Here is a 27533-nt window from a genome sequence, read left to right on the forward strand (position 1 = left end):
CTTGAAAACTCCATGTTCTTACATGACCCTGGGCTACAGTGAATTAGTCCAACTTGACCCAGCCATACCAATGTTTTCAGTTGTTACCTATTATGACTAAATCCATAAGCATTCTTTAAAAAAAGCCTTGCAAACATGTTTTCATTTCTATTAGGGAAGTACTTTCTTCAACCACAAAAAATGGAACTAGAAGTCGCTACAACATGAATTAACTTTGAAAATATTATGCCAAATGAAATGAGAGGACAATAAGACAAACACTGTATGATTCTATTTATGAGGTACCTAGAATAGTCATAATCATAAAGACAGAGTATAACATACGTTACCAGGAAATCAGGGGAGGAAAGATGGGAGTTATTGTTTAATGGGTATCAAGTTTTTATTTGCGATGATGAAAAACTTCTGGAAATGGACAGAGATGGATGGTTGCAAAATATTGTGAATGTACTTGATGCCACTGAATTGTATATTTAAAAATGGTTGAAATGTAAATTTTATACTATGTATATTTTGCCACCAATAAAGAAAAAAACCTTAGAGGAAAAATTTGTTACTTATTGGACTCCCTAGAACCCAAGAAAGTAAAAAAGATCTAACATTTAATAAGTACCAGGCATTACATATACTACCTCAAATAGCCCTCCCAACAACACTATAAGGTACACTTAGTATCTCTGTTTTAATGAGGAAGAAACAGGCAAAAAGCAGATAACTCAAAAGTCACAGAGCTAGGAAATATTGGGCATAGGACTCAAACCCTGGCAGTCTGACTCTGTCTCTCAAGCAGCAGCATAAGTTAAAAAAACATTCATTACAGAAATCTATGTTGTTAAAATTGCCTAAATACTCCATGGAAATATGAACTGGCAAAAATCAAAACATAATCCTGCACCTACAATACCAATAGTGTGTATCTGCATTAAGGACAACATGTTTAATGGTATAATTATAAGCAAAGCAGATTTTTTCTATCTTTATTACTTATGAGCTCACACCTTCATTTGGCAGTAAGATATATCAAAATTTAAAACATACAGCAAGCAGTACAAAAAATAACAAAACAACAAGCTCTTAAAGATCGCTGTCCCTGATAAATACCAAAACTAATAGTCAAAGGAAGAAGCACATTAGAGAAGAGAGAAAAAAGAGGTGATTTAGAATATTCTTTGTAAAGAGGAAAGGGGTCTTTCACTCACACGGCTTAATACATTAATAAGGAAGAAGCATAATAAAGCTCAAGGGCATTTGAGAACCAACTGACAGGACTTTCCGGATATAGTTCCAGATCTAATAACACAGTTTTATTGCCCCTTGTTTTTATCAGATGCCAATAAAATCAGAAAGAAACCATTATCATTTCTCAGTCATTCTCTCACATTCATACATTTTATAACATACTGACCTTACAACATAAGCAGTAATAGAATAGCTCTTCAATTTGGGTATCCTTCAATTTTTTTAAAAAACTACACCAACATAATCATTCAATAAATGTATTATTATTCTAGACATTAAAACAGCAAGAATAGATATATCTTTCCCTCCAAAAACTTAGGCTTAGTCTAGTGTAGAGGTTGATAATAGTTAAGCAAATAAATCATAATTAAGATAAAAGCTATGAAAGGACTTAACAGGGGCACTTAAAACTAGTGAGTGTTCTGAATCAGAAAAGGCTTTCCCCCATGGACGTGACGTTTAGAATGATATTTGGAAGATGTCTTAAAAAGTCAAGAGGAATTCAGGATAGTGGCTGGTGGGGAGAAAGGAGTGCTGAATCAGGGTACGATTCACAGAGAAGAAAATTACATTAGTAAGCATTCTTTATTAAGCTGGCAGTCAGACCACAGGTGCTGTTTAAGTGTCTTCGTAACTTTGATTTAAAAAGATCTTTATATGGAAAACTTTGAACACACAAAAAACAAACAAAATAGTATACTAAACTTCCCCACATCCATTACTCAACTTCAGCAACCACCAACGTTCTGCAATTCTTCTTTCATCTACACCTCCCACTCCCTGTCACCTAACTCAATTATTTCTATAATTTTTAGATAAAACTTGTTTATTTTATCTAAGATACATGTATGCCATTGAAATACATACTTCTTAGCTGTACAACTTTAATAGATAAGCCCATGTAACACACACCTCTATGAGATATGGAACATTTTCATCACTTCAAGAAGGCCCCTTATGCACCCTCCCAGTTGAATATCACCATTTTCCAGAAGCAAAAGGCAACCTTTGTTCTGTTTTTATTTTTTCACTCCAGAGTAGCTTTGCCTCTTCTAGAACTTAATATAAATGGAATAATACAGTATCATGTCCAGCTTCCTTTGCCAAGTATGTCAGATTCATCCATGTCATGTTGTGTACATTTGCCATTCTGTAGTTCTTTTATTACTGAGTGGCATTCCATTGTATGAATATACCAAAAAATTTTTAGTCATTAATCCTATTGACATTTGGGCTGCTTCTAGTTGTCAGCTGTAAGGAGTAAATCGACTGTAAATATAATTTTTAAAAGTTTTTTGTGGACATGTTTTCATTCCTTTTCCGAAAACACCTAGAAGTAGAATTGCTGGATCCAAAGGTGTATGCTTAAATTTATAAGAAATTGCCAGTGGTATTCCAAAGTGGCTCTCCCATTTTATACTCACACCAGCAATTTACGAGTGTTCTGGATGGCTTCCTAGAATATTTGTAGTTGACAGTCTTTTTAATTTTACCCCTTCTAGTTGGTTTTAGTGATTATTTTATGGTTTAAGTCTGCATTTCCCTAATAACTAATGTTTTTATCTTTTGTATGTATTGAAAACTGGGTAATGTTGTAAATGAAAAATGAGGAGCATATTAACATAGGAAATAAGAGCAAAGACTCTGGAGGAAAAGGTATATTACGCCTGGACCAAGAGGCCGTGCTTTGCTATAGTGCAGCTATGGCAAAGAGTAACAAAGAATAGTAAGGCTAAGGAGGTAGATTAGGGTCAAATCACATGGATGGGGATTATTATGAGTTCAGATTTGAACTCGTTTTTTTAAGGTACCTCTAGGATAAGCTAAATGGCATTATTAAATAGGTCTGAAACTCAGGCAAATTAAGTGCTGGAACAACAGGTATGCAGTTCCTTCATAAATGGAAATCAAAGTGGTAAGACTGCCTGGGGAGAAATAACAGAAGTAAGAGAAGCAGAAAATACCAAAGGACCAAGACTCAAGAAATTTCTACTTTTAATAACCAAGCAGAAGAGAAGCCTGTTAAAAAAAGGCTGAAGAGCAATAGATCAGAGAGGCAAAATGAAAACCAAAGAGTTTAAAGGATAGTTTTTTTGTTTTTTGTTTTTTTTTCCAGAGACAGACTCTCGCTTTGTTGCCCAGGCTGGAGTGCAGTGGCGCAATCTTGGCTCACTGCAAACTCTGCCTCCCAGGTTCAAGCGATTCTCGTGCCTCAGCCTCCCGAGTAGCTGCGATTACAGACATGTGCCACCAAACCTGGCTTATTTTTGTATCTTTAGCAGAGACAGGGTTTCACCATGTTGGTCAGGCTGGTCTCGAACTCCTGACCTCAGGTGATCCACCCGCCTCGGCCTCCCAAAGTGTTGGGATTACAGGTGTAAGCCAATGCGTCCAGCCAAGGATAGTTTTTCAAAACTGTTTAAACCTGCTAGGAGATTATGTGCCAAACTGTCTCCCCCAAAATTCACGTGTTGAAGCCCTAACCCCCAGTACGTCAGAACACGACTGTATTTGGATATAGGGCCTTTAGAGAGGTGAGTAAATTCATCTTCCAGGCCCTAATCCAATCTGGACACAGACACCAGAAATGCATGCAAACAGAGGAAAAACCAAGTGAGGACACAGCAAGAAGGCACCCTCTGCAAGCCAAGGAGAGAGGCCTCAGAAGAAAACAAACCTGCCAACACCTTGATCTTTGACATCCAGCCTCCACATAGTGAGAAAATTAATTTCTGTTGTTTAAGCCACCCAGTCTGTGGTATTTTATAGAAGCCCTAGCACACCAAGTGAGAGATCAAATAAGACCAAGTTTAAAAATATTCACTTAATTTACTAACAGAGAGGTTGTTGGTATCATAAGCAAATACTATTACAGTGGAATGAATAAACTAAACAGGTGAGTCAAAGGTGAGAAATGGAAACAATAATTTCTAGCATTTGGCTAGGAAAGAGAACAGAAAGGTCAGTAATGTGGTACCCATTAATGCTTATTGTTTTTATTTTTTTAATAGCAGGAATTAAGCGTGTTTAAATACTGACGAGAAGAATCAAGTGTAAAGAAAAGTTAAACATACAAAAAAAAGGGAAATCATCAACAGCATAAGGTACTGCAGAGAAAGGGAGAAAGCCTTAGATAGAAAGCAAGACTACCTCTATTTTAACATTAAGAAGAAAGAAAATATAGAAAAGATAGTGGGCAACTAAGGGTTGCACCAAGTACTCCGGTTTTCACTGGAAAGTAACAGGAAAAGTTTTCTGTAGAAAGAGAAAGGGCATGTTGGAGGTCTGAGGAGAACAGATGATTGAAACAGTCATGGTAAAGATGAGGAAACTAGCTGACAAGGATAATGCAGTGGATTCCCATGCAGTATTAGGGTCTGTGATCAACAATCATGAATTTATAATTTTTTTTAAATGTCCTTTGAGGTAACTTTTTACTGCAGCATTCAGGTGGTATAGGAATGAAAGAATCTGATAACCGAGTTAATCCAGAATTAGGATTTTACCAAATAAGTGAAAAATCACTTGTCTGAGGAAGAGAAAAATCAGTAGATTTGAGGAGATCAGGGAAATAAGACCAGGATATTGGAGAGTCTATGTAAGGATGCTAAAATGTTTGAGAATTATTGTAGGACCTGGAATGTACAAGGAGATTATGAGGAATACACCACTATCTTCCCAGAATAAGTAAAATCTACCAGAAAGGCTGTAGATAACAGCTAAAAGGAGGTTGAGACCAATAACTAATACTGTTCTAAATGCTTTACATTATTAACTTATTTCTTATAATAATCTATAAGATAGGAGATGATACTATACTACTAATATTGATGAAGAAACAAATATAAGGAAGTTTTAAGAAACTTACCCAAGCTTGCTCTCTTAAACTAATTGTAGGACATTAAATACCAGAGTGAGACAGCTTCAGGGTACAGAGTTCCTAAATAATGTGAAATTTCAATTAAGGAAATTTATATAGTATAAGCTATACTTCCAGTCCTAACACTGTATCAGATCAGATCACCTGAAAAGCCTTCCCACAGAAATTTCATGCAGAAAGGATATATCAAAATAATTCTTTTAGGCTGGGTGTGGTGACTCACGTCTGTAATCCTAGCACTTTGGGAGGCCAAGACAGGCAGATCACCTGAGGTCAGGAGTTCGAGATCACCCTGTCCTACATGGTGAAACCCCGTCTCTACTAAAAATTTAAAAAAAAACAAATTAGCTGGGTATGGTGGCACACACCTGTAGTCCCAACTACTCAGGAGGCTGAGGCAGAAGAATCGCTTGAAACCGGGAGACAGAGGTTGCAGTGAGCTGAGATCACCCCACTCCACTTCAGCCTGGGCAACAGAGTGAAACTCAACTCAAAAAGGAAAAAAAAAATTATTTTAAATTAATCCTTTAGCCACCATGAAACAGAAATCTTTAAGTGTGTGCCAGTAACATGGAAAAAACAGTAACATATTAAAAATATATATATTAGGCTACAAGTTGGCAATGTTTCTTCCCTACAATGGGTTGCTAGTCTTAACCTATATTTATCCTTTGACTCATATGTAGGGACTAGAAATGAGACTTTTGGCCCTTAGTGGGAGACTTCAGTTCTGAGATACCCCTTTCTACTCCATACATTAACACACACATAAAGCCAAGGCCCAGGAAAAGCTGCAATTTTAGTAAAGTGGTCCTACATAGGTCAATAACAGAAGAAAAATATAAAGACATAGGCTTAGAAAGCAACAAAAACCATCTTTATTCACTACTTATATGATTATCTGCATGAGGTATCCAAGAGAATCTATCATTAGAAGTAAGAGTTTAGGCCAGGTGCAATGGCTCATGCCTGTAATCTCAGCACTCTGGGAAGCCAAGGCAAGAGGATCGCTTAATCCCAGGAGTTCGAGAGCAGCCTGGGCAACATAGCAAGACCTCATCTCTACAAATAATTTTAAAATTGGTTGGGTGTGGTGACATGCACCTGTGGTCCCAGCTACTTGGGAAGCTGAGGTGGGAGAATTGCTTGAACCCAGGCAGTCAAGGCTGTGGTGAGCAGTGACCACACCACTGCACTCCAGCCTAGGTGTCAGAGTAAGACACACCACCTCAAACAAACAAACAAAAACAACTAAGAATTCAGCAAGATTGAGAGATACAAAATCAAGATACAAACAGCAACTTGCTTCTTAGCAATTTGTCTCTTATACTAATTGGTTTGTAGCTACCAGTAACAAAAAGTATTTTTATAAAAATTTGCCATTCACGATGGTAACAAAAATCATAAAAACCTAAAAAAAAAAAATCTAATGAAGACTTCTATCAAGAAAAAAATGGAACTGGGCCAGGCGCAGTGGCTCACGCCTATAATCCCAGCACTTCGAGAAGCTGAGGTGGGTAGATCACCTAAGGTCAGGATGGCCAACATGGCGAAACCCTGTCTCTACTAAAAATACAAAAATCAGCCAGGCATGGTGGCAGGCGCCTGTAATCCCAGCTACTGGGGAGGCTGACGCAGCAAAATCACTCGAAACAGGGAGGCGGAGGTTGCAGTGAGCCGAGATCACAACAAAAGCAAGACTCCATCTCAAAAAAAAAAGAAAAAGAAAAAAGAAAAAAATAGAACTGTATTGAACAGAAATATCAATGACAGTCAACCAATGTAAAGGTGACAACTATCCCCACTGTAACCTGTAAATTCAATGAGATTCCAATCACATTTCCAACAGGGTTTGTTTTCTGTTAAATTTTCATTAGGGTCAGGGTGAAATATGATTAGCTGACCCAAAATTTTCATTGAGAGAAGATTCACCTTATCAGATAACAAGATTTATATCAAAACTATTAAAATTAACACAATATTGTAAAGACATGAAAGCAGACCAAAGAAGCTATGATACAGAAGAGAGATTCTACAAATGAACTCATGTAGTAAATCTGAAACTTTTAAACAATGTTAAAAACCGACACGAAGGCCGGGCACAATGGCTCACGCCTGTCATCCCAACACTCTGGGAGGCCAAGGCGGGCAGATCACCCGAGGTCAGGAGTTGGAGACCAGCCTGGACAACACAGTGAAATCCCATCTCTACTAAAAATACAAAAATTAGCCAGGTGTGGTGGCGGGCACCTATAATCCCAGCTACTCAGGAGGCTGAGACAGGAGAATCACTTGAACCCGGGAGGCAGAATTTGTGTGAGCCAAGATCGCACCACTGCACTCCAGCCTGGGAGACAGAGTGAGACTCCATCTCAAAAAAAAAAAAAAAAAAAAACCACACACACACACACACACACACACACACACACTATGAGATACTTGCAATGCATATTACCAAAACCATTAATATCCAGATTATAAAAAGAATCACCACAAATCAATTTAAGGTTCAATACCCAATAGGAAAAAAATCAGCAAAGAACATAAAAGATTCACAGAATAGGAAACTAGAATGATCAAAAACTATGCAAAGACATTCAACTTTACTATAAATCAAAGTAATGAAAATGAAAATCATCAAACTCCATTTCTCATCTTTCAAATAGGCAAAAAAATCATAGCTAGATAAAATTAAATGTTGATAAAAAAAAGTGTGGAAACATGTTAATGGGTATAAAATGGTAGCTCCACTTTGGACTGGACTCGGCAATACTTGATAAAGTGGCACCTGAACCCTGTGATTCAGCAATTCTACTTTCAGGTATCTATCCTAGATAAAATTACAGTAAGTACCTATGTACGAGCATTACAATATTATTTGCCAAAAGGTAGAACTGCATTATCTCTATAAAACTTAGCATTATTCAACCTGGAAAACTAAACAGTAGTTACAATGAATGAACTAAATCTACACATGTCAATATGAACACATCTAGAAAAAAACACAGGTCATCTTTTGTGTAAATGTTTTATGTGTACAAAAACAGCAGGGAAATAATCGTAAGGACTTTAGGATAATGAGTACCTCCAAAGAAGGGAGAAAAGTATGGGGAGGGAAGAACTTTAAAAGGAAATCAAACGAGGCAAAAGGTTAATATCTGCTTGACCCTGAGGTTAGATACACAGGTGTTTGTTATACTACTTTCTGTCCTTTCTTTGTATCTTTGATTTCATAATTTACACAAATTTTAAGAGACTGCAAATAGTAAGCTTAGTGAAAAGAAATTGCAGAGGGCACAATGGAAGGAACTAGGAAGCATGAGAGAAATAGAAGGCTTTTGTCAAGGCAAAAAAAAACTCATAAAACATTAAGAAGACAGTAATTCAGAAGATATGATCACCTACTAACGAAAACTACTGAGAGGCAAGTCTCAGACTCCTTGAGGAAGATGGAAATTGGGCCTCATGGCCAGACTATGCATCTAACTAGTTTATTATCTCAGCTCATTCAGCCTGGCATCACTGTGATTCTCAGCAACTCTCATCACTATATATTATGAGGGTGACTGTGCTGAACCTTGAATCTAATAGGTGCAAGACATTCTGTTGGACAATGCAAGCGATATAAAGAGGCATAGTACTAGTTTTCAGGGAGCTTATCATTTAGTGCGGAAGCTAAGATGCATACAGAAAAACAAAACAAAACAAAAAAACACCTTGCACTTAATGTCTAAACAAGTGCTACTGGAATTCAGAGGAAGAAAAAAATCCATCAGGCTGCTGGGATGGTATAAGAAAGGTTTCATAACAATAGTGGAGCTCAAGCCAAGTAGCAAAGAAGAAAAAGCAATTCAAAAGGTACAAAAATTGGCATTCCTGGTAAGAAAAAATGACAGCAAAGGATTGCAGAGCTCTAGGAAGGGAAAAAATAGAGTATAAGTGCTTGACAATTTTTAGATCTCAATTAGAAAAATAAAATATTTTGACGATAAATAAAATCTTTAAAGTTAGACGATCAATCAGGGCTCTAAGCTATAAACAGAATCTATTTGAGGTGGTTTCAAGAGAAAATAAATTTATTAATATATTAGGGGATTCCAAGAATTATCAGAGAACTGAAGAATCCACTTGGAGATATGATGCCAGGAAAAATACCTAAGTCTCCCCACCAAATTGTTCCCATCCTTCAGCCCTAGTACCATGAAAGCTGAGCCTAGGACAACAAGGCTCACTAGTATCTCTGTCACTGCTACCTCTAAACAGCTCAATATCTTGTCACTCAACATGCACATTAGAAAGCAATTCCAGGCAAGAGCTGTTACCCTGCATTTCTCTGACCCTGAATTCATGTCTTACACAGATGCATCTGATCAATAAAGCCTAGGTCATATGCTTGTGCCCTAGCTGCAAGGAATACTAGGAAATTGAGTTCTGACTCTATAAAACATGAACATGCAAATTTATCCAACATTGAGAGGCTATTTGAAATGAGAAACCACAAATACAGATCAAGTCTATGCTTCCAATCAAGATCCTCAAACCTGACAGATTATAACTAAGCCTTGTACAAACAAGACTCTCTCTGTTCCTCATATGGAGGTAAGAACCAGAGACTTATCAGTTATTGCACACAGCTCCAATATCAGAATCTCTCGGTGATATCCCCCTCCTTCCTGTTTTCTCATATAACCCATGAAGTAAACTGCAAAAAGGGGGCAGCCTCCTGAGCAGCCAGGACCACAGGCTCACGCAGCCATGCCCAAAACACAAAAGTTAACTTTTGTGTTTTTTGTAGAGACAGGGTTTCACCATGTTGCCCAGGCTGGCCAACTCACTCTTATGGTAGTTCAAGTAAGGCCTTCTCCTATGAGACCTAAAATTTTTTGCTCATACAGATAAAGTAGGATCTTAATAGGCTTCCTCTCTATTTTAGACGTAGGGATCCATGATCATTTAGTCACAGCCAAAAAGAATTCAAGTCAGTGCATCTCTGATCATCATGCCTGTCAAGCTACCTTATGAAAATGATGCCTGGACCTTACCTAGAATCTGGCCACACCCCCTGAAGTAAAAAAGACAATTTCAATGAAAGTATCTCCTCCAGCCTACAGACAAAAGCAATTGAATTACTTTTCATATATGCTGGCACTGCCCTCAAAGTATTTCTCATTAGGTTGGTGAATGAAGTGTCTTCCAGACCTCTTAGTAGAGAATACTGGAGAGGGAATAGGGGAGGTAAGTGAATGGTCACAGTGATAAATCCACTCCATCAGTTCTATTTCCTTTAATCTTTTGACTTCTTCCTCTATATTATGCTATGAGTTTTTAGGCATTCAACTTCATTTAGTATAAGTCAATGCTGAGACCAAAGGAGCAAACAATTAGAACCACTCCTGGCTACTTGAACGAGAACAATGAATTCAGAATCTCTGATAACTGCACCATACCAATACATTCAGCCAAATGCAAAAGCATGTTTCTTTCTCTCTCACATCATCATCATCACCCATTTCTGTACATATTCCTGAAGGTTTTGCTGCTTTGTCAGCAAAAAAAAAAAAAAAAAAAAAAAACTTTAAAAAAATTACATATAATCCTTTTCTTCCCATTGTGACTGCAAAGGTGCAGCATGATATAGTCTGACTCCAGTTACAGGTATGGAAACATGAGTATCGTGGGAAGGGGTATGAGGAAACTAGCTTCCCCATGGATGGTAACTGTCTTAAGCAAGGTTGTTAACACAGGGAAGGATGGCTTCTGCTAGCAGGAGAGACTCAGAGTTTGGAGACTTGAAGTACTATGTGTCCGCAATTCCCCATATACAGAAATGTATTCAAAAGATTATTAGCAGCCAAAAATATCACATGTACAATTTAAAAAGTGGGTATTTATAAATTGCAATTCTGTTTCCTCATATTTTCTTAAAATTAAGCAACATAAGATTTCTTCTATTTGGTTTTGTTACCATGCATTTGATTAATATTAATTATCACAACTTCACACTAAGATCAGGCAGCATTATGGTACTCAAATTTAAGAGCAATTGAATTTGTGCCTCTAGAGGGCAGCATTTCTCACAGGATAGACAAGTCCGACTTAAAGTCACTGTGGAAGAAGCTTAAGACATGCAGGAAGACAAGCTTTAGCAAGTTTCTTTCTTGTAAGATATCTCAAAGCCTTTGATATATTAATGTGCATGGTAAAATATTCAATAGGCCATTATTATGGTACACAGTGTTTCTTCAAACTTAATTACAGAACTCTTTCAAGGACCATCTCTAGTGACTAGCAGAATGCACTTTGGAAACCATCTAAATAGGCAAATTCTCTCAAGACAAGTTCCACTTCCTTCTTTATTCATGAACTTATGCTTCATAGGATTTTTAAAACAAGTTTTCAGACATCTCCTTATATTCTCATATCATGAGATCAAGACAGAATGAAATAAACATCAGCAATAACATTCATTTACTTCTGTAGAAATCAAAAACATGGAGAACTTATTGCCTAACTTGCTCAAAGGATAAAAGCAAAGTAATAAAGAAAAAAAGGTTGGTGCTTTAATAACTAGTCAAGATATGGCCACTACTGGTTTTAAAACCACAGAGGAGTTGAAGTACTTAATTTTAGAAATTGTATATTCATCCAAATTCAGGATATTAAATATCTGAGCTCCACTGAAAATCTTTCCACAATCCATGTCAACTGAAATTGAGCTTGCTAATCTAAAGTTTGTTGTAAACCTGATGAGATCTCGATAGGTCTCTACAGATGAACATTCTTTTTTTTATTTGTGAAAGAGCTATTAAACAAAATTACTCTCTTTTTTTGGTTTTTCACCCAAATGATGAAACAGTCTTTAGAATATAGATACTTTTCCACTCTCCAACTACTCTAGTAACATACAGGCAAGCTATGATTTCAAATATGTATATCCAAATGCTTTTCTGATTAAATCCTTTTATCCATGAAAAATGTTTGAAATTTTTTCATGCCTATAAGAGATGCCACAAAGAAAATGCAAGTAGTTCTAAGTAGCTCTTTCTAGGGTGCTTGATTCAGAAGTCCCCTTGGTACTGTTCCTATGACATCAGCCTGATCAAAAATGACTGTAATCTCTAGTCCCAAGTAACCAAAATACTTTAATCACATACATAACCAACTCTCAAAAGGTTTAATTTCTAATATATTAGCTATTAGCCACATGTGACTACTAAGCACTTGAAATGTGGCTAGTGTTACCAGGGAATTGAGTTTTTAGCTTTATTTAGTTGTACTTAATTTAAATTTAAAAGCTGAAGCTGTGTAAAATGTCCTTCTACTAAAGAAAGTTTTATTCTTTTGGCAGTACTACATTTCACTGTGACCACTGTACTGCATATTATACTCCACATCTCAGGATACAGTGAGTCATTTCTAGTATTACACATAAAAATACTGATCTAGTCAGTAAAAATTAACTAATTTACAGTTAGAATGAGTATTTTTCTACTCATCAATCTAACACCGTACTGCGTTTACTTAAATACGTTTTTCACAAATAACACAAGTTGCAGTGATGCCTATGTAAATCACAACTGGTAACTCAATCGCAATACTTTTTATTTTTTTTAATTTTAATATTTTGAATATAATTAATTTTCTTACTTTAAAAATGAATGGACAAGAGGAGGACACATTTTTAAAAGTAAAAAGAAGGCATTACAGCAATACACAATCAAGTAGAGATACAGAAGCTAATGCTACCACCAGAACAGTAAAGTAAAAAGAAACTGGAAGAAGGTATGCTAGAAATTTTCTAATGAATGACAATTACAATTAGCTGTGACAGAGCAAAATTAAAAGCTATTTCTTGGGTTTTAAAGTTTTACAAGTAAAGTAGACAATATTAGGAGACATTTTCAACAAATACACAGTGAATTTTATAAGAACTTTCTGCTCTACAATCAGAAGAAAAGCAACAAAATTAGCCAAACAATGTCAGAAGTAAATGTACAACAAACGTGTTTAAAAGCTTTTTAACAAATCTGGGCTTGTAACTCTGGTCAGCTATAAACTGGCTTAAATTCTTGCGCCAAAAGAAAGAAAATCACATTTACATAAAGAGATGGTAAAGAAATTATTTCAATTATAGAAATTTTGTTAGAAAATTATGAGGAATACTAAAATAGATACTTTACAACACGTGGAAGATATTCAATTAAGACACCATCCATCATATGGAAGACCTTTCTAATAATACGAAAAATCAACAGATTCAAAATGTGAAAAATTACTATTTCCCTTTAGCTTTAGATGAGCCATGTGATATAAGAGACACTACCTTATTAAATTTTTTTTTTTGAGACAGTCTCGCTCTGTTGCCCTGGCTGGAGTGCAGTGGCGCAATCTCGGCTCACTGCAACCTCCACCTCCCAGGTTCAAGTGATTCTCCTGCCTCAGCCTCCAAGTAGCTGGCATTACAGATGCACACCACCACGCCCGGCTAATTTTTTGCATTTTTTAGTAGAGATGGGGTTTTGTCATGTTGGCCAGGCTGGTCTCGATCTCCTGGCCTCAAGAGATCCACTTGCCTTGGCCTCCCAAAGTGCTGGAATTACAGGCATGAGCCACCGTGCCCGGCCCCAATTAAATCTTTTAGGTGAAATTTATTTGAAAGAACTTCTAAACTTAAGAAAAAGTTGTCACTATGTAGCTGTAAAAAAAAAAAAAAAATCAAGAGTGGCATAGATATTTTTTAATCCTTTACCTCTGTCAAAGAATTTCAGCTAGGTATTAAACAATTAGTTTCTATCACAACAGACAGCTCCAGCTATGTTAGGAATTTTAAAAGCAAAAATTGATGTTTCTCCTATTCCTTTATTCCACTGTATGATACACATTGAAAATATCTGTGTTCAGCTTTCTGAAACAGACTATGAAAAGCCCTATGTAAAGAGTTGAATTGTTCAGTATGTACATGCCAAAAATATGAATCCTAGCCAGTTCATGGAAATGTTAAAAAAATAAAAAACAATACATTTAAAACATCTGTGTTCTTTGCTCACTGGGTATAGTGGAATAACTTCACAAAGATCTACTCTAATGTCAACTCTGATTTTAGAAAGAGATGCTTTTCACTATTAAGTAATAAAAGACAAAAATGGCAGTATTCTTTTGTTTCCTCACTTACATCTCAATGCCTATGAACAAGCTTAACTTGAAGCACCAAAGAAAGGTAGAGTTTATTTATGACCAGGCTAACACAAGAAAAAGTAAAATAAAAAGAAACTGGAAGAAGGTATGCCAGAAATTTTATAAGAACTTTCTTATAAATTTACATTGAAATTTAAAGTTTTCATAACACAAACCAATAAAAAAGATTTTACACTTTGTTCTAACATAAATCAACATATATAAATTTTAATTGACAGTGTTTTGCAAAGTGGCTGCAAAAATTACAAAAAAATCATTGAAAAACACTTTATTTAATATAGATTTGCCTAACATCCAATCTCCTTTTGAATATAATGTCAGTAATACGGAGTTGACACAAGAGTTCATGAATTTGCTTAACTTCAGTAGCTCAATTTTGAAATGGATACAGTTTTGCTTCAAAGTCTACTACATTCTACTAAAAAACATGAACCAGTTTTACCAATTTAGATGCAAATATTACAGAAAAATTATTTTTTGGTACTTAATTCAGGTAGCGAAATACTTAAGTGTGTCTGAAACGATTTAGATATGTGAATCTACTTTTCCAACCATAAACTTTATGAAATCTAAAGGAAGATCAATTACTTCCGGTAAAAAGTTAGTGTTGAAATTGAGATATAAAATATCTACCAGATTTCAAAAACTTGGTACAAAGAGAATCTAAAATAACAATTTTTTTTATAAATTATGTTGAAATGGTAATATCATGGCTCCATCAGGCTAAATATCTTAAAATTAATTCAACTGCTTTTTACATTAATAAGGGTATTGCAATTTTTAAAATAACATGTGTGGCTCAAATTATACAGTCACGCATCGCCTCATGACAAAGATACATTCAGAGAAATGTGTCAGGCAATTTCTTCTTTGTGTGAATATTACACAGTGCTTTTACACAAATCTCCATGGTATAAACTATTGCTCCCAGGTTACAAACCTGTACAGCATGTTACTGTACTGAATACTGTATGCAACTGTAGCACAATGATATTAACACATCTAAATATATAAAAGGTATATTAAAAATAAGGTATATAAAATGTAAAACGGTGCATCTGTATCATAAATTAAGCTAGCAGGACTGGAAGGTGCTCTAGATGAGTCAGTTGGGGTGGATGCATATGAAGGCCTAGGACATTATTGTATACTACCATACACTTTATAAACAGTGTGCACTTAGGCTGTACTAAGTTTATTTTAAAATTTTTTCTTTCTTCCGTAATAACCTCAGCTTACTATAACGTTTTTACTTTATGAACGTTTTAATTTTTTGCCTGTTTTGTAATAACACTTAGCTTAAAACACATAGTAAAGCTATATAAAAATATTTTCTTTCCTTATATCCTTATTTTATAAGCCTTTTTCCTGTTTTAAAAAAAATTTTTTTAACTTTCAAAACTGTTTTAAGACACAAATATACACAATAACCCAAGCCTACACAGGATTAGGATCATCAATATCACTGTCTTCCATCTCCACATAATGTCCCACTGGAAGGTCTTCAGAGGCAATCACACACATGGAACTGTAATCTCCTACAACAACAGTGCTGCCTTCTGGAACACCTCCTGAAGGGCCTTCTTGAGGCTGTTTTGCAATTTTTTTTTTTTTTTTGAGGTAGAGTCTCACTCTGTCACCAAGACTGGAGTGTGGTGGCGCTATACTGGCTCACTGCTACCTCTGCCTCCCAGGTTCAAGCAATTCTCGTGCCTCAGCCTCCAAGTAGCCAGGATTACAGACGTGCACCACCACACCCAGCTAATTTTTGTATTTTTAGTAGAGACAGGGTTTTGCGATGTTGGCCAGGCTAGTCTCGAATTCCTGGCCTCAAGCAATTCGTCCGCCTCGGCCTCCCAAAGTGAATTTATTTTTTTAAAGTTCAAACAGTGCATTCTAAAGTAACAACAGAAAGTGCAGTATTGTAAATATATCAACCAGTAACACAGTCCTTTATTATCAAGTATTAGGTACTGTACATAATTGTATGTGCTATACTTTTTTTTTGAGACGGAGTCTTGCTCTGTCACCCAGGCGGGAGTGCGGTGGCACGATCTCAGCTCACTGCAAGCTCTGCCTCCCAGGTTCCCGTCATTCTCCTGCCTCAGCCTCCTGAGTAGCTGGGACTACAGGTGCCCGCCACCACACCCAGCTAATTTTTTGTATTTTTAGTAGAGACGGGGTTTCACCGTGTTAGCCAGGATGGTCTCAATCTCCTGACCTTGTGATCTGCCCGCCTCAGCCTCCCAAAGTGTTGGGATTATAGGCGTGAGCCACCGCGCCCGGCCATGTGCTATACTTTCAGACGACTGGCAGTGCAGAAGATTTGTGTACACCATCACCACCACAAACACATGAGTAAGGTACAGCACTAAGACTTCATGACAGCTATGATATCACTAAGCAATAGGAATTTGTCAGTTCCATTATAATCTCATGGGACACATTCTTCAAAATATCTTAATATCTCTAAGAGTTAGGTAAACAGGTAATATTGCACAGAAGATGAATAAATTGGTAGTCTTATTCCCTACCCCCACAACCTGAAACAATTTAAATGAAACGTATTATAGCAGTGTTTCTCAAACTGTAACATGTTTCAGGATCACCGAAGGGCTTGTTAAAATTAACTACTGCAATTAGGTGGATCCTGAGAAGTCTGCATTTCTAACCAGTTCCAATGTGAGGCTGATACTATACTAGCAGGGGACCACACTTTGAGAACCACTGATAAAGACAACTTACAGATAAAATCAATGTGCAATATGCACACTGATTGTGTAATGCACAATATGAATGAATTCTGTGAAGCCAAAACAACATGGTCTATCTAATACCTTGCTTAGTTAAAATCTCAAATATCTAGGATCTGATGGCTGATAAATTACACACCACAATGTTTCCCTTTTCCAACCATCTAGAAACTGCAAATTTGAAGTTGTCTATTTATTATACATAGGAGCATATGCATGTATTAGAAATTAAATGATCAGAAAAGACCGAAATATTTATAGACACTGAAAAGCCTAATCAAAAAGGTAATCTGGATGGATGGCAAATGACCCTCCCACATGGAAGTGAACTGAGAGTACCTGAGACAAAGTCAAGATTTTTCTTTTAAAAAAACTTCTGAGATCACTACACCAAATAAATAAATGAGAAATGTAAACATTCCTATATCATATAATATTAGAAGGAAGCTCTTAGAAAAGTTTTTTAAATTGTTATTATCAAATACCGAACAAAATTAAGGAAAAAATTCAATTGTGTTCCCATGAAATAACATATTTGACACAATGTAACTTGTGAAGAAATCCTCCAGGATTAATCAGTGCAAAATGAATCTGCTACAAATTAAACAGTCTGCTACAAAAAGAATTACCGTGTATAAACTAATTTCTGTACATCAGGGTAATGTGTCCAGATCATCTAACACGGTTCTAAGACACAAAGACTTTTAAAAAGATGGTAAGATACAAGTACTGGGGGCAGGGGGAATGGAAGAATTCCGATTTCCAGTAAAAGGAATCAATATTCCTTGGTGAAATGGCTGATTTCATGGCTGGGGCAGAGAAAAGCACAAGAAGAGACTAGAACATTTTGCGCTACTAGAAAGTTAAGCCTTCTGACCAGGTGTGGTGGTCCATGCCTATAATCCCAGCACTTTGGGAGACCAAGGTGGGAGGACTGCTTGAGGCCAGGAGTTTAAGACTAGCTTGGGCAACACAGCAAGACTCTGTCTCTATTGGAGAAAAAAAAAAAAGGCGAAAACTAGCTGGGTGTGGTGGCACATACCTGGCCTGTAGTCCTAGCTACTCCGGAGGCTAAGGCAGGGGGATCACTTGAGCCCAGGAAATCCAGGTTGCAGTGAGCTATGATCATACCACTGCGCACTCCAGCCTGAGTGACACAGCAGGACCCTGACTCAAAAAGAAAAAAAAAAAGTTAAGCCCTCACAAAATGATGGAGACATGTCAAAAGGACCAGGAACCTCCTTGAAGAGGCTTCATGGGGCCAAACCTGGGATAATTAGAGCACCAAAATAAATAATGATGATAATAGATGAAATCCATAGAAGAATCTGTAAGTCCATCTGATATAAGAGGGGAAAAAAAATCCGCGAGTCCATTCTGATATACATAAAACATTAAATAAATACATAACAAGGGAAAGTTCTTCCTTACCAAAAACCACTAATGTAAATACAGAAGAAATGATGGAAACAGAAAATCACCATGACAAAATCATCAATAAAAGTTAAAGTCTGGGGCCAGGCAGTGGCTCACGCTTGTAATCCCAACACCTTGGGAGGCCAACACAGGATGGCTTGAGTCCAGGAGTTCGAGACTAGCCTGGACAACATGATGAAACCTCGCCTCTACAAACAATATGAAAAATTAGCCAGGCATGGTGGTGTGCACCTGCAGTCCCAGCTACTTAACAGGCTGAGGTAGGAGGATCACCTGAGCCCAGGAGATTGAGGCTTGCAGTGACTCATGATCGTGCCACTGCAAAAAAAAAAAAGAAAAAAAAAACAGCAAGGAAGTTAAAAATTGGTAGAGTATGGTGAGAAATGTTAATTACCTGGTCCCAAAGTACTTATTTTTAAGTACCTTCCCATAGGATACTTTTTTTTTTCCTTTTCTTAACCTAGAATCTGAATCAACACTACTTATGAATCACAAAGGAAAAAAAGCAACTAGAGTGGACAAACCTGATACCACCTTAACGAAAGGAACTGAAAATTAGTATCACTGATAACTGGACAAATCAGCATCATGTGCCTCTAAATAAGATTCATAAAATCATTTTTGCAGTATTCTTAATCAAAAATGCTTAAAATTAATTGAATCATAGGAAAACATACAAACACAAATTGTGCAATATTCCACAAAATTACTGACCAGTACTCTTCCAAAGTATAACAGTCACAAAAGGCAAAGAAAGACTGGAATTGTTTCAGGTTAAAGAAAACTAAGAAAACATGATAACTAAAATACAACACGTGAATAATTTCATATTGTGATCCTGGACCAGAGAAAGGCCATTGGTGAGAAAATGGGTGAAATCTGAATAAAGTCTGTAGACTATCAGTATTACATGAATGTTAATCTCCTGATTTTGATAATTTTTCTGTCACTGCATAAGATGTTAAATTTTGGGAACTTGAATGAAGGGCATATGAGAATTTACCCTTTATACTATTTTTGCCACCGTTTTCCTGAGTCTAAAAAAAAAGGTGAAACCACCAATCAAAACCAAACTGGCAAGTCAGGATACAGTCTCATTTTTCTATAATGTCAAATTAATGTATGTATCTGTGAAGAAGCTAGTCTCGTCTCCTGTTAACCCAGACTTTCATGGTAATAACAAGAAAAACAACATGTTTTAGAGTAGATATTGAGGTTAACGAACGTAAACTATTATTGCTTCCTGCTTTAAAAAAAAATGAAGGAATAAAGATAAGTCGATAACAATCATGAATAATCTTATATAATTCCTGCCAAAATTTTTACAACAGTAATTCTCAACTGGGAACAGTACTACCCCTCAATAAGTGTTGGAGTTGTTTTTTGAATCAGTAAGTATATACAATTGTGAAACAATGACCTCACAATGAGGGAGAGGAACCAAGAAAGTTAGGACTGTCACTCAATGGGTTGTCCTACTGACACATACTCCCTACAGGATCATGAAGAATGTGACAATAGGTAGTCCATTTATTACTGCTATAAAATAGTCTGAGAGGCCCATATCTGCAGAACCTCCTGCTCAGTAAGGTTAAAGAGCTTGTTTTAAGTCACACATCCATTTAGGCAATTGAGCTGCGATTAAAACTGAGATCTCCTGTGCTCCTTAAAGTATAAGAGGGGAAATAAAGGGAAATAACACTTACCTAAATATAGCCATTAAGAAACATTCTCAACAGTGATGACTGGGTAGCACACAGACAAAGATGTTCACTGCAGCATTTTTCATACTTACAAAAAAATTGGGAACAACCTAAACGTCCAGTAAATTACAACACATCTCACCATTTTGGTAGAAGAGTTAGAATAATAAATGACTCTAAATGCTAATTCTCTTGTCAATAAACACTAAGTTATAAAAAGGATTCTTCTTTCAAGTAAAGTTATGTCAGTATATCTGTACTACTAAATTTTGGAAGAACAACTGCTGATTCAAGATGCCTGTGTACTTTATTTTGATAAATACTGTCAAACTGCTCTCCAAAAAGGCCACAAAAATGTATACTCCCAACAACAGTATGAGAGTAACTTTCCCCCATATTCAAAACTTACGTATTATCAACCTTTTTCATGTTTGTGAAAAATAATTTTTTAACCTTACTCATTGTTTTCAGAACAAGTAAAAAAGGGAGGAGAGAAAGAGGAGGGCGGTACATATGAAACAGTACCACAGATCTCTCCAGCCACAGGTCAAGCCTAATACGGGGCAAGAGGAGAAATAGACTTTTCATAACTAAAAACATATTGGGAAAGCTATGAGATTAATCCAAGGTGATGTTAAAAATCAATTAAGGAAAATGCAAAAGACAGTGACTGGGAAAAAAATGAAACTTTCATGAGTTCAGTACTCACTGAGGTCAGTCTATTGAATAAGGCTAACCTCACGACATCCTTCGATATTACCTTTTGCTTTCATTTTTAAATTATTTTTTATGTAAAGAGTAAGAGCAAGGGACAGGGCTTTTTCCCCAAATGAATAGAAAGTTGCTGCAATATAAATTACCAAATAATCCATCTTCTCCCCCACCAATCTGAAATGCTGCCTTCGATATACATTAAATACCTACATATACTAGGATCTCATTCTGTCACCCAGGCTAGAGTGCAGTGATCACAGCTCACTGAAGCCTCAAACACCACGGTTAATTTTTTTTTTTTTTTTTTGTAGAGACAGGGGGTCTCTTCATGTTGCCCAGGCTGGTCTCAAACTCCTGGGCCCAAGCCATCTTCCCACCTCAGATGATCCCAAAAATAAAGTCTGGGATTTTATTCTTTTTCTCCAAAAAGTTGGCGACTTCTCTCCCCTTTTGCTCATAACATGCAGTATGAATATAACAGGAAGGATAGCAGCTTATTTAAAATCAGGAACACCTGGGTTAGCATCCTGACACAGCCCCCCGCCCCCCCCACCGAATCCCACCATGCCCAGTCCTCTGTGGAGTGCATGACCATGGACAATTACTTAAAAGTTCTAATCCTCCATTTTTTCATCTATAAACAAAGTTTTTGAAAATCTATAGTTTCTTTTTTTTCTATTTATTTCCCTTTATCTCTTCCTTTATGCTTAAAAATATGGGTAATCAAATTTCAGGTGGATATATCTTTTGATTCAGCAATTTCACTTTTGGGAAATTATCCTGCAGAAATATTGGCATACATATGAAATGATACATGTACAAACTTATTCACTGTAGTATTATCTGTAATAGTGGACCTGGAAACAACCTAAATGTCCACCAATATGGGACTAGTTTCAAAAACAATAGCATATTCATCACAATGGAATAAACAATACTATTATGAAAAAAATGAGAAAGTTCTCAGTATGCTAATATTAAAAGACCTCTAAGATCTACTGTGAAATTAAAAAACAAAGTATGTATACTACGCTTTTCTCTGTAAAATGTGAGAGAATATCACTATATATTTGTATTTGTTTCTAAGTGTATGTGTGTGTAAGACATTCTGGAAATATTTTTAAGAATAAGTAAAAATATTTCATTTTTACCATTTCAAGCATGTAAAAAGGAGAAAAAGACTGACTATCTGGATTAAAACAAAAGACTCAGAAAAAAACAAACTACTAACAAAGTTAACCAGAAAATCAATGATTTGAATGAGTTCCTATGTATCAAATGTTCATTCAAAATTAAGGTTTTTGTTCACATTATATGAAACTAAATATTTCTTTCAATGGACCAAGGCAGAAAAAAATTTTGTTTTACTATACTGTTTCTTCTTTACTGATACTTGTCTTTCTCAAATTCTCCATACTACACATACTCCTTAGTTTGGCAGTATTCAAATTCACTTTTTAAAAATTAGATCAGATGACAAGGTTATCTATATTGTCTACATAATTTTATAATTCATATATAGCACATATTTTAGACACAGTAAACAACAACAAGATGGAAAATAAGAGTGGAAAAGAAAGTAACTTGAAGTTACACTTTGTAAGACTGAATGCAAACTAAATATTTTTCTATTATGTTTATAGACAACAGGAAACCACTGAAAGCTTTGATAAGAATGGAGGACGATATTAAGAAATTAATGTTCTTGAAGAATGAATGTGATCTCAAAAAGCAGAAACAACCCCAAAGTCCATCAACTGATGAATAAAATGTGGTACCCTCCATACAACTGAATACTATTCAGTCCTAAAAAGAATGAAGTTCTCATGCATGCTACAACACAGAAGAACACTGAAAACATCGTGTTACGTGAAAGAAGCCAAACACAAAAGGCCATGTACTGTATGACTCCATTTATAAGAAATGTCTAAAATAGGCAAATCCATAGAGATAGGAAGTAGATTAGTGGTTGCCAGGAGACTGCGCAAAGAGGAAATGGGAAGTGACTCCTTAATGAGCATCAGGGTTCTTTTGAGGTAATGAAAATGTTCTGGATTAATAGTGATAATTACTGCACAACTGTGTGAATACAATGAAAACGACCGAATATTTATTTATTTATTTATTTGAGACGGAGTTTTGCTCCTGTTGCCCAGGCTGGAGTGCAAATGGCACCATCTCGGCTCACCGCAACCTCCACCTCCCAGGTTCCAGCGATTCTCCTGCCTCGGCCTCCCAAATAGCTGGGACTACAGGCGCACACCACCATGCTCGGCTAATTTTTGTATTTTTAGTAGAGACGGGGTTTCACCATATTGGCCAGGCTGGTCTCGAACCCTTGACCTCAGGTGATCCGCTCACCTCAGCCTCCCAAACTGGGATTACAGGCATGAGCCATTGCGCCTGGCCTGAACTGAGTATTTAATAGCGTGAATTTTCTGGTATGCAAATTATGCCGGCCTGAATTGAGTATTTAATAGAGTGAATTTTCTGGTATGCAAATTATACCTCAATAACTAAAAAAGCTGCAGGATATGCAAAGAGATCGCAGATAGTTAAAATAGAAAGCAACTACACTGGTTTAGCAATGAGTACATAAAAGCCATTGAAGTTTCTATTGTTAACCCTAATCCAGGGAAGCACCATTCAGGTTACTGTGCTCCAGAGTACTCCACTCACAGAGACCCTATTGGAGGATACAGCCCGAGAAAAAGAATACATAAATTTAAACAAAGAGGTAAAAGAATTGTCAATAATAATGTATGTCTGAATGTGAACAGGAAGGAATTATGACAAAAAAGAAATCTATTTTCTCTTTGATTTTAAAAAGCAACATTCCCAAAGAGGAAATTCAATAAAGTTTACCATTGGTTATCTCTGGACTGAGGAAGTGAGGACAATTTGTTGTCTTTTACCCAGACTTTTCCAACTCTTCAACAATGACATTACTTGTATAATGAAAATGTATAAAAATGTACTTACCTTTATAAAAATAAAAAACTTTACATCTCAACCATAGAAACCATTCTGAAACACTAAAGCCCTAACCTATGAGAGTCAAACAGTTGTTAAAGACAATTTCTTGTGGAGTCCACATGCTATTGTCTTTTCCTAAAAAGTTCATAATCTACATCTACACTGTCCACTAAGGTAGTCACTAACTAATGAGCACTTACTTGAAATGTGACTAAGTCCAAATTCAGATGTCTTGTAAGTATAAAATATACACTGATTTCAAAGATTTAGTATTAAAATAAGAATTTTAAATATCAAAGTCTTCATGGTTTTCATATTGATTACATGTTAAAATAACATTTGGGATATATTGTGTTAAATAAAATATATTATTAAAATTAATGTTGGCTGGTTCTTTTTTTGCTTTATTAACATAGCTACCAGAAAATTTAAATTTAACTATCTCGCTTGCATTCCATTGGACAATGCTGTCTCAGAAGAAGCTAAGTGGGCTTTTTAAGGACTTCATTTGAGTCTTCCCTTGGGGTTCCCTTTCTCTTACGTTCTAAGAAGCAACATTCTTCCCAGAGCATTTCCTGCACCTGAAAACACTATACACACCAAGGAGCATGAAACAAGTGATAAATATAAGAACTGACTAGAAGGGAAATCTTTCCTTCATGTTTCCTACAACTCATACTGTAATATGAATTCTCAACAAGAAATTCTGAGATTCTCAGGGGTGGGGAGGTATGTTCTCTAGGGGATGATATAATTTGAATATTTGACACCTCCAAATCTCAGGTTGAAATCTGATCCCCAATGTTGAGGGTGGGGCACAGTGGGAGGTGCCTGGGTCATAGGAGCAGATTCCACATAAACAGCTTGTGCTATCCTCAAGGTAATGAATGAGTTTCCCCTCTGTAAGTTCTCATGAGAACTGATAAAAAGAGCTTGGCACCCCCTCTCCTCTTTCTCTCCTTTCCTGCCTCACCATGTGATACCTGCTCCCCTTCACTCTCTGCCATGAGTGGAAGCTTCCTGAAGCCCTCACCAGAAAGCAGATGTTCTGACATCATGCTTCTTATACAACCTGCAGGAACCATGAACCAAATAAACCTCTTCTCTTCATAAATTACCCAGCCTCGGGTATTTACAGCAACACAAAAAGAGACTAGGACGGGGGTATGTGACAGGTGAAAAGCCTCAGTAACACTATAAGATTATTTAGGAGCTGAGAATGTCAAGTCAAAAATACCTCTGTTTACGGTCCTGAAAAGACAATAAGTAGAAATATGGATGAGGGAGCTACACAAGCACGTATGGTTTAAGAGAGCCAACTCTGGGTATGCTGGAGAAAAGTTATCTTAGGCAAAACAGAGGTCAAGAACATCTAGGAAACATACTTAGAAAGCTTCAAGAAGAATCACTTTACCCCCACACTGAAGGAATAAACCTAATGCCTAATAAAGAAACTAGGATTTCTCTAAGAACAAAGAAGAAAATATAAAAATTAAAAATAGCCTGTCTCCATCTCCTCTTTTTTCCTCACTGTTTAAAATACTAAAAAATGCAAACTAATTTGTAGTAATAAAAAAGCAGATCATTGATTGCCTGAAGCGAGGGTGCAGGGAAGGATTTAACTGTGAAGGGGCATGAGGAATCTTTTGAGGGTGACAGAAATGTCTTGTAGTTTACTGTATATAAATTATATCTCAATAAAATCAACTTAAAATGGGGGGAAAAAAGCAACAATGCTTTACAAATCACCATTTGCCCATGGCAGTCACAACATAGCTGTCATTCCCTGTACACTTGCAAATTGGGTAATGGCAGTTTATATCACCATAATTATTACTAAATTCTGTACATTTAGTAGTACAATAAGAAGTCACGCTTACTTCTTAATTTTAAATGTCCTGTAAAATACTATGATTCAGCATTGAAACAAAAAAGTTGTTTACAAAAAAGAACACAAACACAACAGTAGAAAATAAATTTGACATTTCTGAAGCAGATATTGTGGCTGGAAGAATAACCACAACTCTCTTTTTTTTTTTTTTTTGCAAGGCACTGTCCAAGCAATAATGTGTTGTATCATGTTTTAATTCAACATTTTTTCTTCCTTAGTCATACATAAAGTAAGAATTTGTCTTATATTTTAATCCAGCATTTTTCTTCCTTAGTCATACACAACATAATAACTTGGCCACATGGCAAGAACATGGTGGCGGGGGTGGGCCTCTAAGGAGCTCAAAGTGGTCCCTGGCTGACAGCCAGCAAGCAAACAGGGACATCAGATCTACAAGAACAAGGAATTGAACTCTTCCCACAACCGGTGAGCCTGGAGGAGAACCCAGAGCCTCAGAAGAGATAGGAGCCCCGGCTGATTCCTTAATTTCAGCCTAGTGAGAACCTGAGGAAAGACCCAGCTAAACCATACCCAAATTCCTGACCAATAGAAACTGTAAGATAAGCTGCTAAATTTGTGTTAATTTGCTGTAGAGCAGGGGTCCACAACTGGTACTGGTCCGTGGCCTGTTAGAAACCCGGCCGCACAGCAGGAGGTGAGCTGCAGGTGGAGTATTATCGCCTGAGCTCCGCCTCCTGTCAGATCAGCTGTGGCATTAGAGTCTCATAGGAGCACAAACACTATTGTGAACTGTGCATGCAAGGCATCTAGGTTAGGTGCTCCTTAAGAGAACCTAATGCCTGATGATTCATCCCAAACCATTCCCCACTGCCTCTCCTTCCCCGCATCCACGGAAAAACTGTCTTCCACAAAAATGGTCCCTGGTGCCAAAAAGGCTGGGGACTGCTTCTGTAGAGCGATGGAAAACTAATACCATACAGATGACCATTTAGATTTGAGGAAACATGGTTTATATTATTTCTCTTAAAGGCTGCTACTCTTTATCATCAAAACAATTTCTAAAACTTCACATTATTATAAGTGATGTAATTCAATTTCACAAGTCAGCAAGATAAGCGGTAATACTAATCTCAACACTGCACAGTTTTTAATTTTTAATTTTTTAAAGAAAGTGTAACTTCTAAGAATTTATTTCTTCCACCAAGTAGGCACACAAACAATACTGTAAACTTAGTATGGTTGTTTCCGCTTTTTTTGTTTGTTTTTGAGACAGGGTCTTATTTTGTCACCCAGGCTGGACTGCAGTAGCACCATCTTGGCTCACTGCAGCCTCGACCTCCTGGGTTCAAGCAATCCTCCTGCCTCAGCCTCCCAAGTAGCTGGGACTACAGGCAAGTGCCACTACACCCAGCTAATTTTTGTATGTTCAGTAGAGATGGTTTCGCCATGTTGTCCAGCTGGTCTCGAACTCCTGAGCTCAAGCGATCCACTCGCCTCAGCCTCCCAAAGTGCTAGGATTATACGCATGAGCTACCGTGCCAGGCTGTTTCTGCCTTTCTAAACCAATGACATATCAAAACAGAAGCCCAATCTTGGTCTTTATCCATTTCTAAGGAAGTGTAAATAAAGTTGGAGGGGTGGTTTTTTTAAAAAAGTTAATTTTGAGATCTAGCATGGCCACATTATTGGAGGCAATCATCCAGTTTCTAAGAACTTCGGTAAACTCGACTATTTAAAAAAAGGAAACACAGAAATCTGAATAAAGTCTACTATCTAATTAATAG

The 27533-nt window shown here is 36.6% G+C and overlaps 1 protein-coding gene across 13 annotated transcripts in view, besides 1 other annotated feature; it reads right to left on the bottom strand.

Moving 5' to 3' along the window:
* FBXW7 (F-box and WD repeat domain containing 7) overlaps positions 1-27533 on the bottom strand; it is a 215549-nt gene that overhangs the window by 169285 nt on the left and 18731 nt on the right. The window contains exon 3 of one of the 13 annotated variants that reach the window (XM_047415897.1): positions 1-27533. This exon is cut by the window's right edge and continues 13489 nt beyond it. The exons of the other annotated variants lie outside the window; for them this stretch is intronic. The gene's annotated coding sequence lies outside the window, so the exon portion shown is untranslated. 13 annotated transcript variants of the gene reach the window in all.
* Positions 26109-26327: a silencer, noted in NCBI's record as "fragment chr4:153437089-153437307 (GRCh37/hg19 assembly coordinates)". NCBI's record gives its function as "represses an EF-1alpha promoter that drives an FKBP-Casp9 reporter gene in an ReSE screen in HepG2 liver carcinoma cells {active_cell/tissue: HepG2}" and the evidence as "EXISTENCE:reporter gene assay evidence [ECO:0000049][PMID:32094911]".

This window comes from Homo sapiens, chromosome 4 (genome assembly GCF_000001405.40).
Source record: "Homo sapiens chromosome 4, GRCh38.p14 Primary Assembly".
Taxonomy (NCBI): Eukaryota; Metazoa; Chordata; class Mammalia; order Primates; family Hominidae; genus Homo; species Homo sapiens.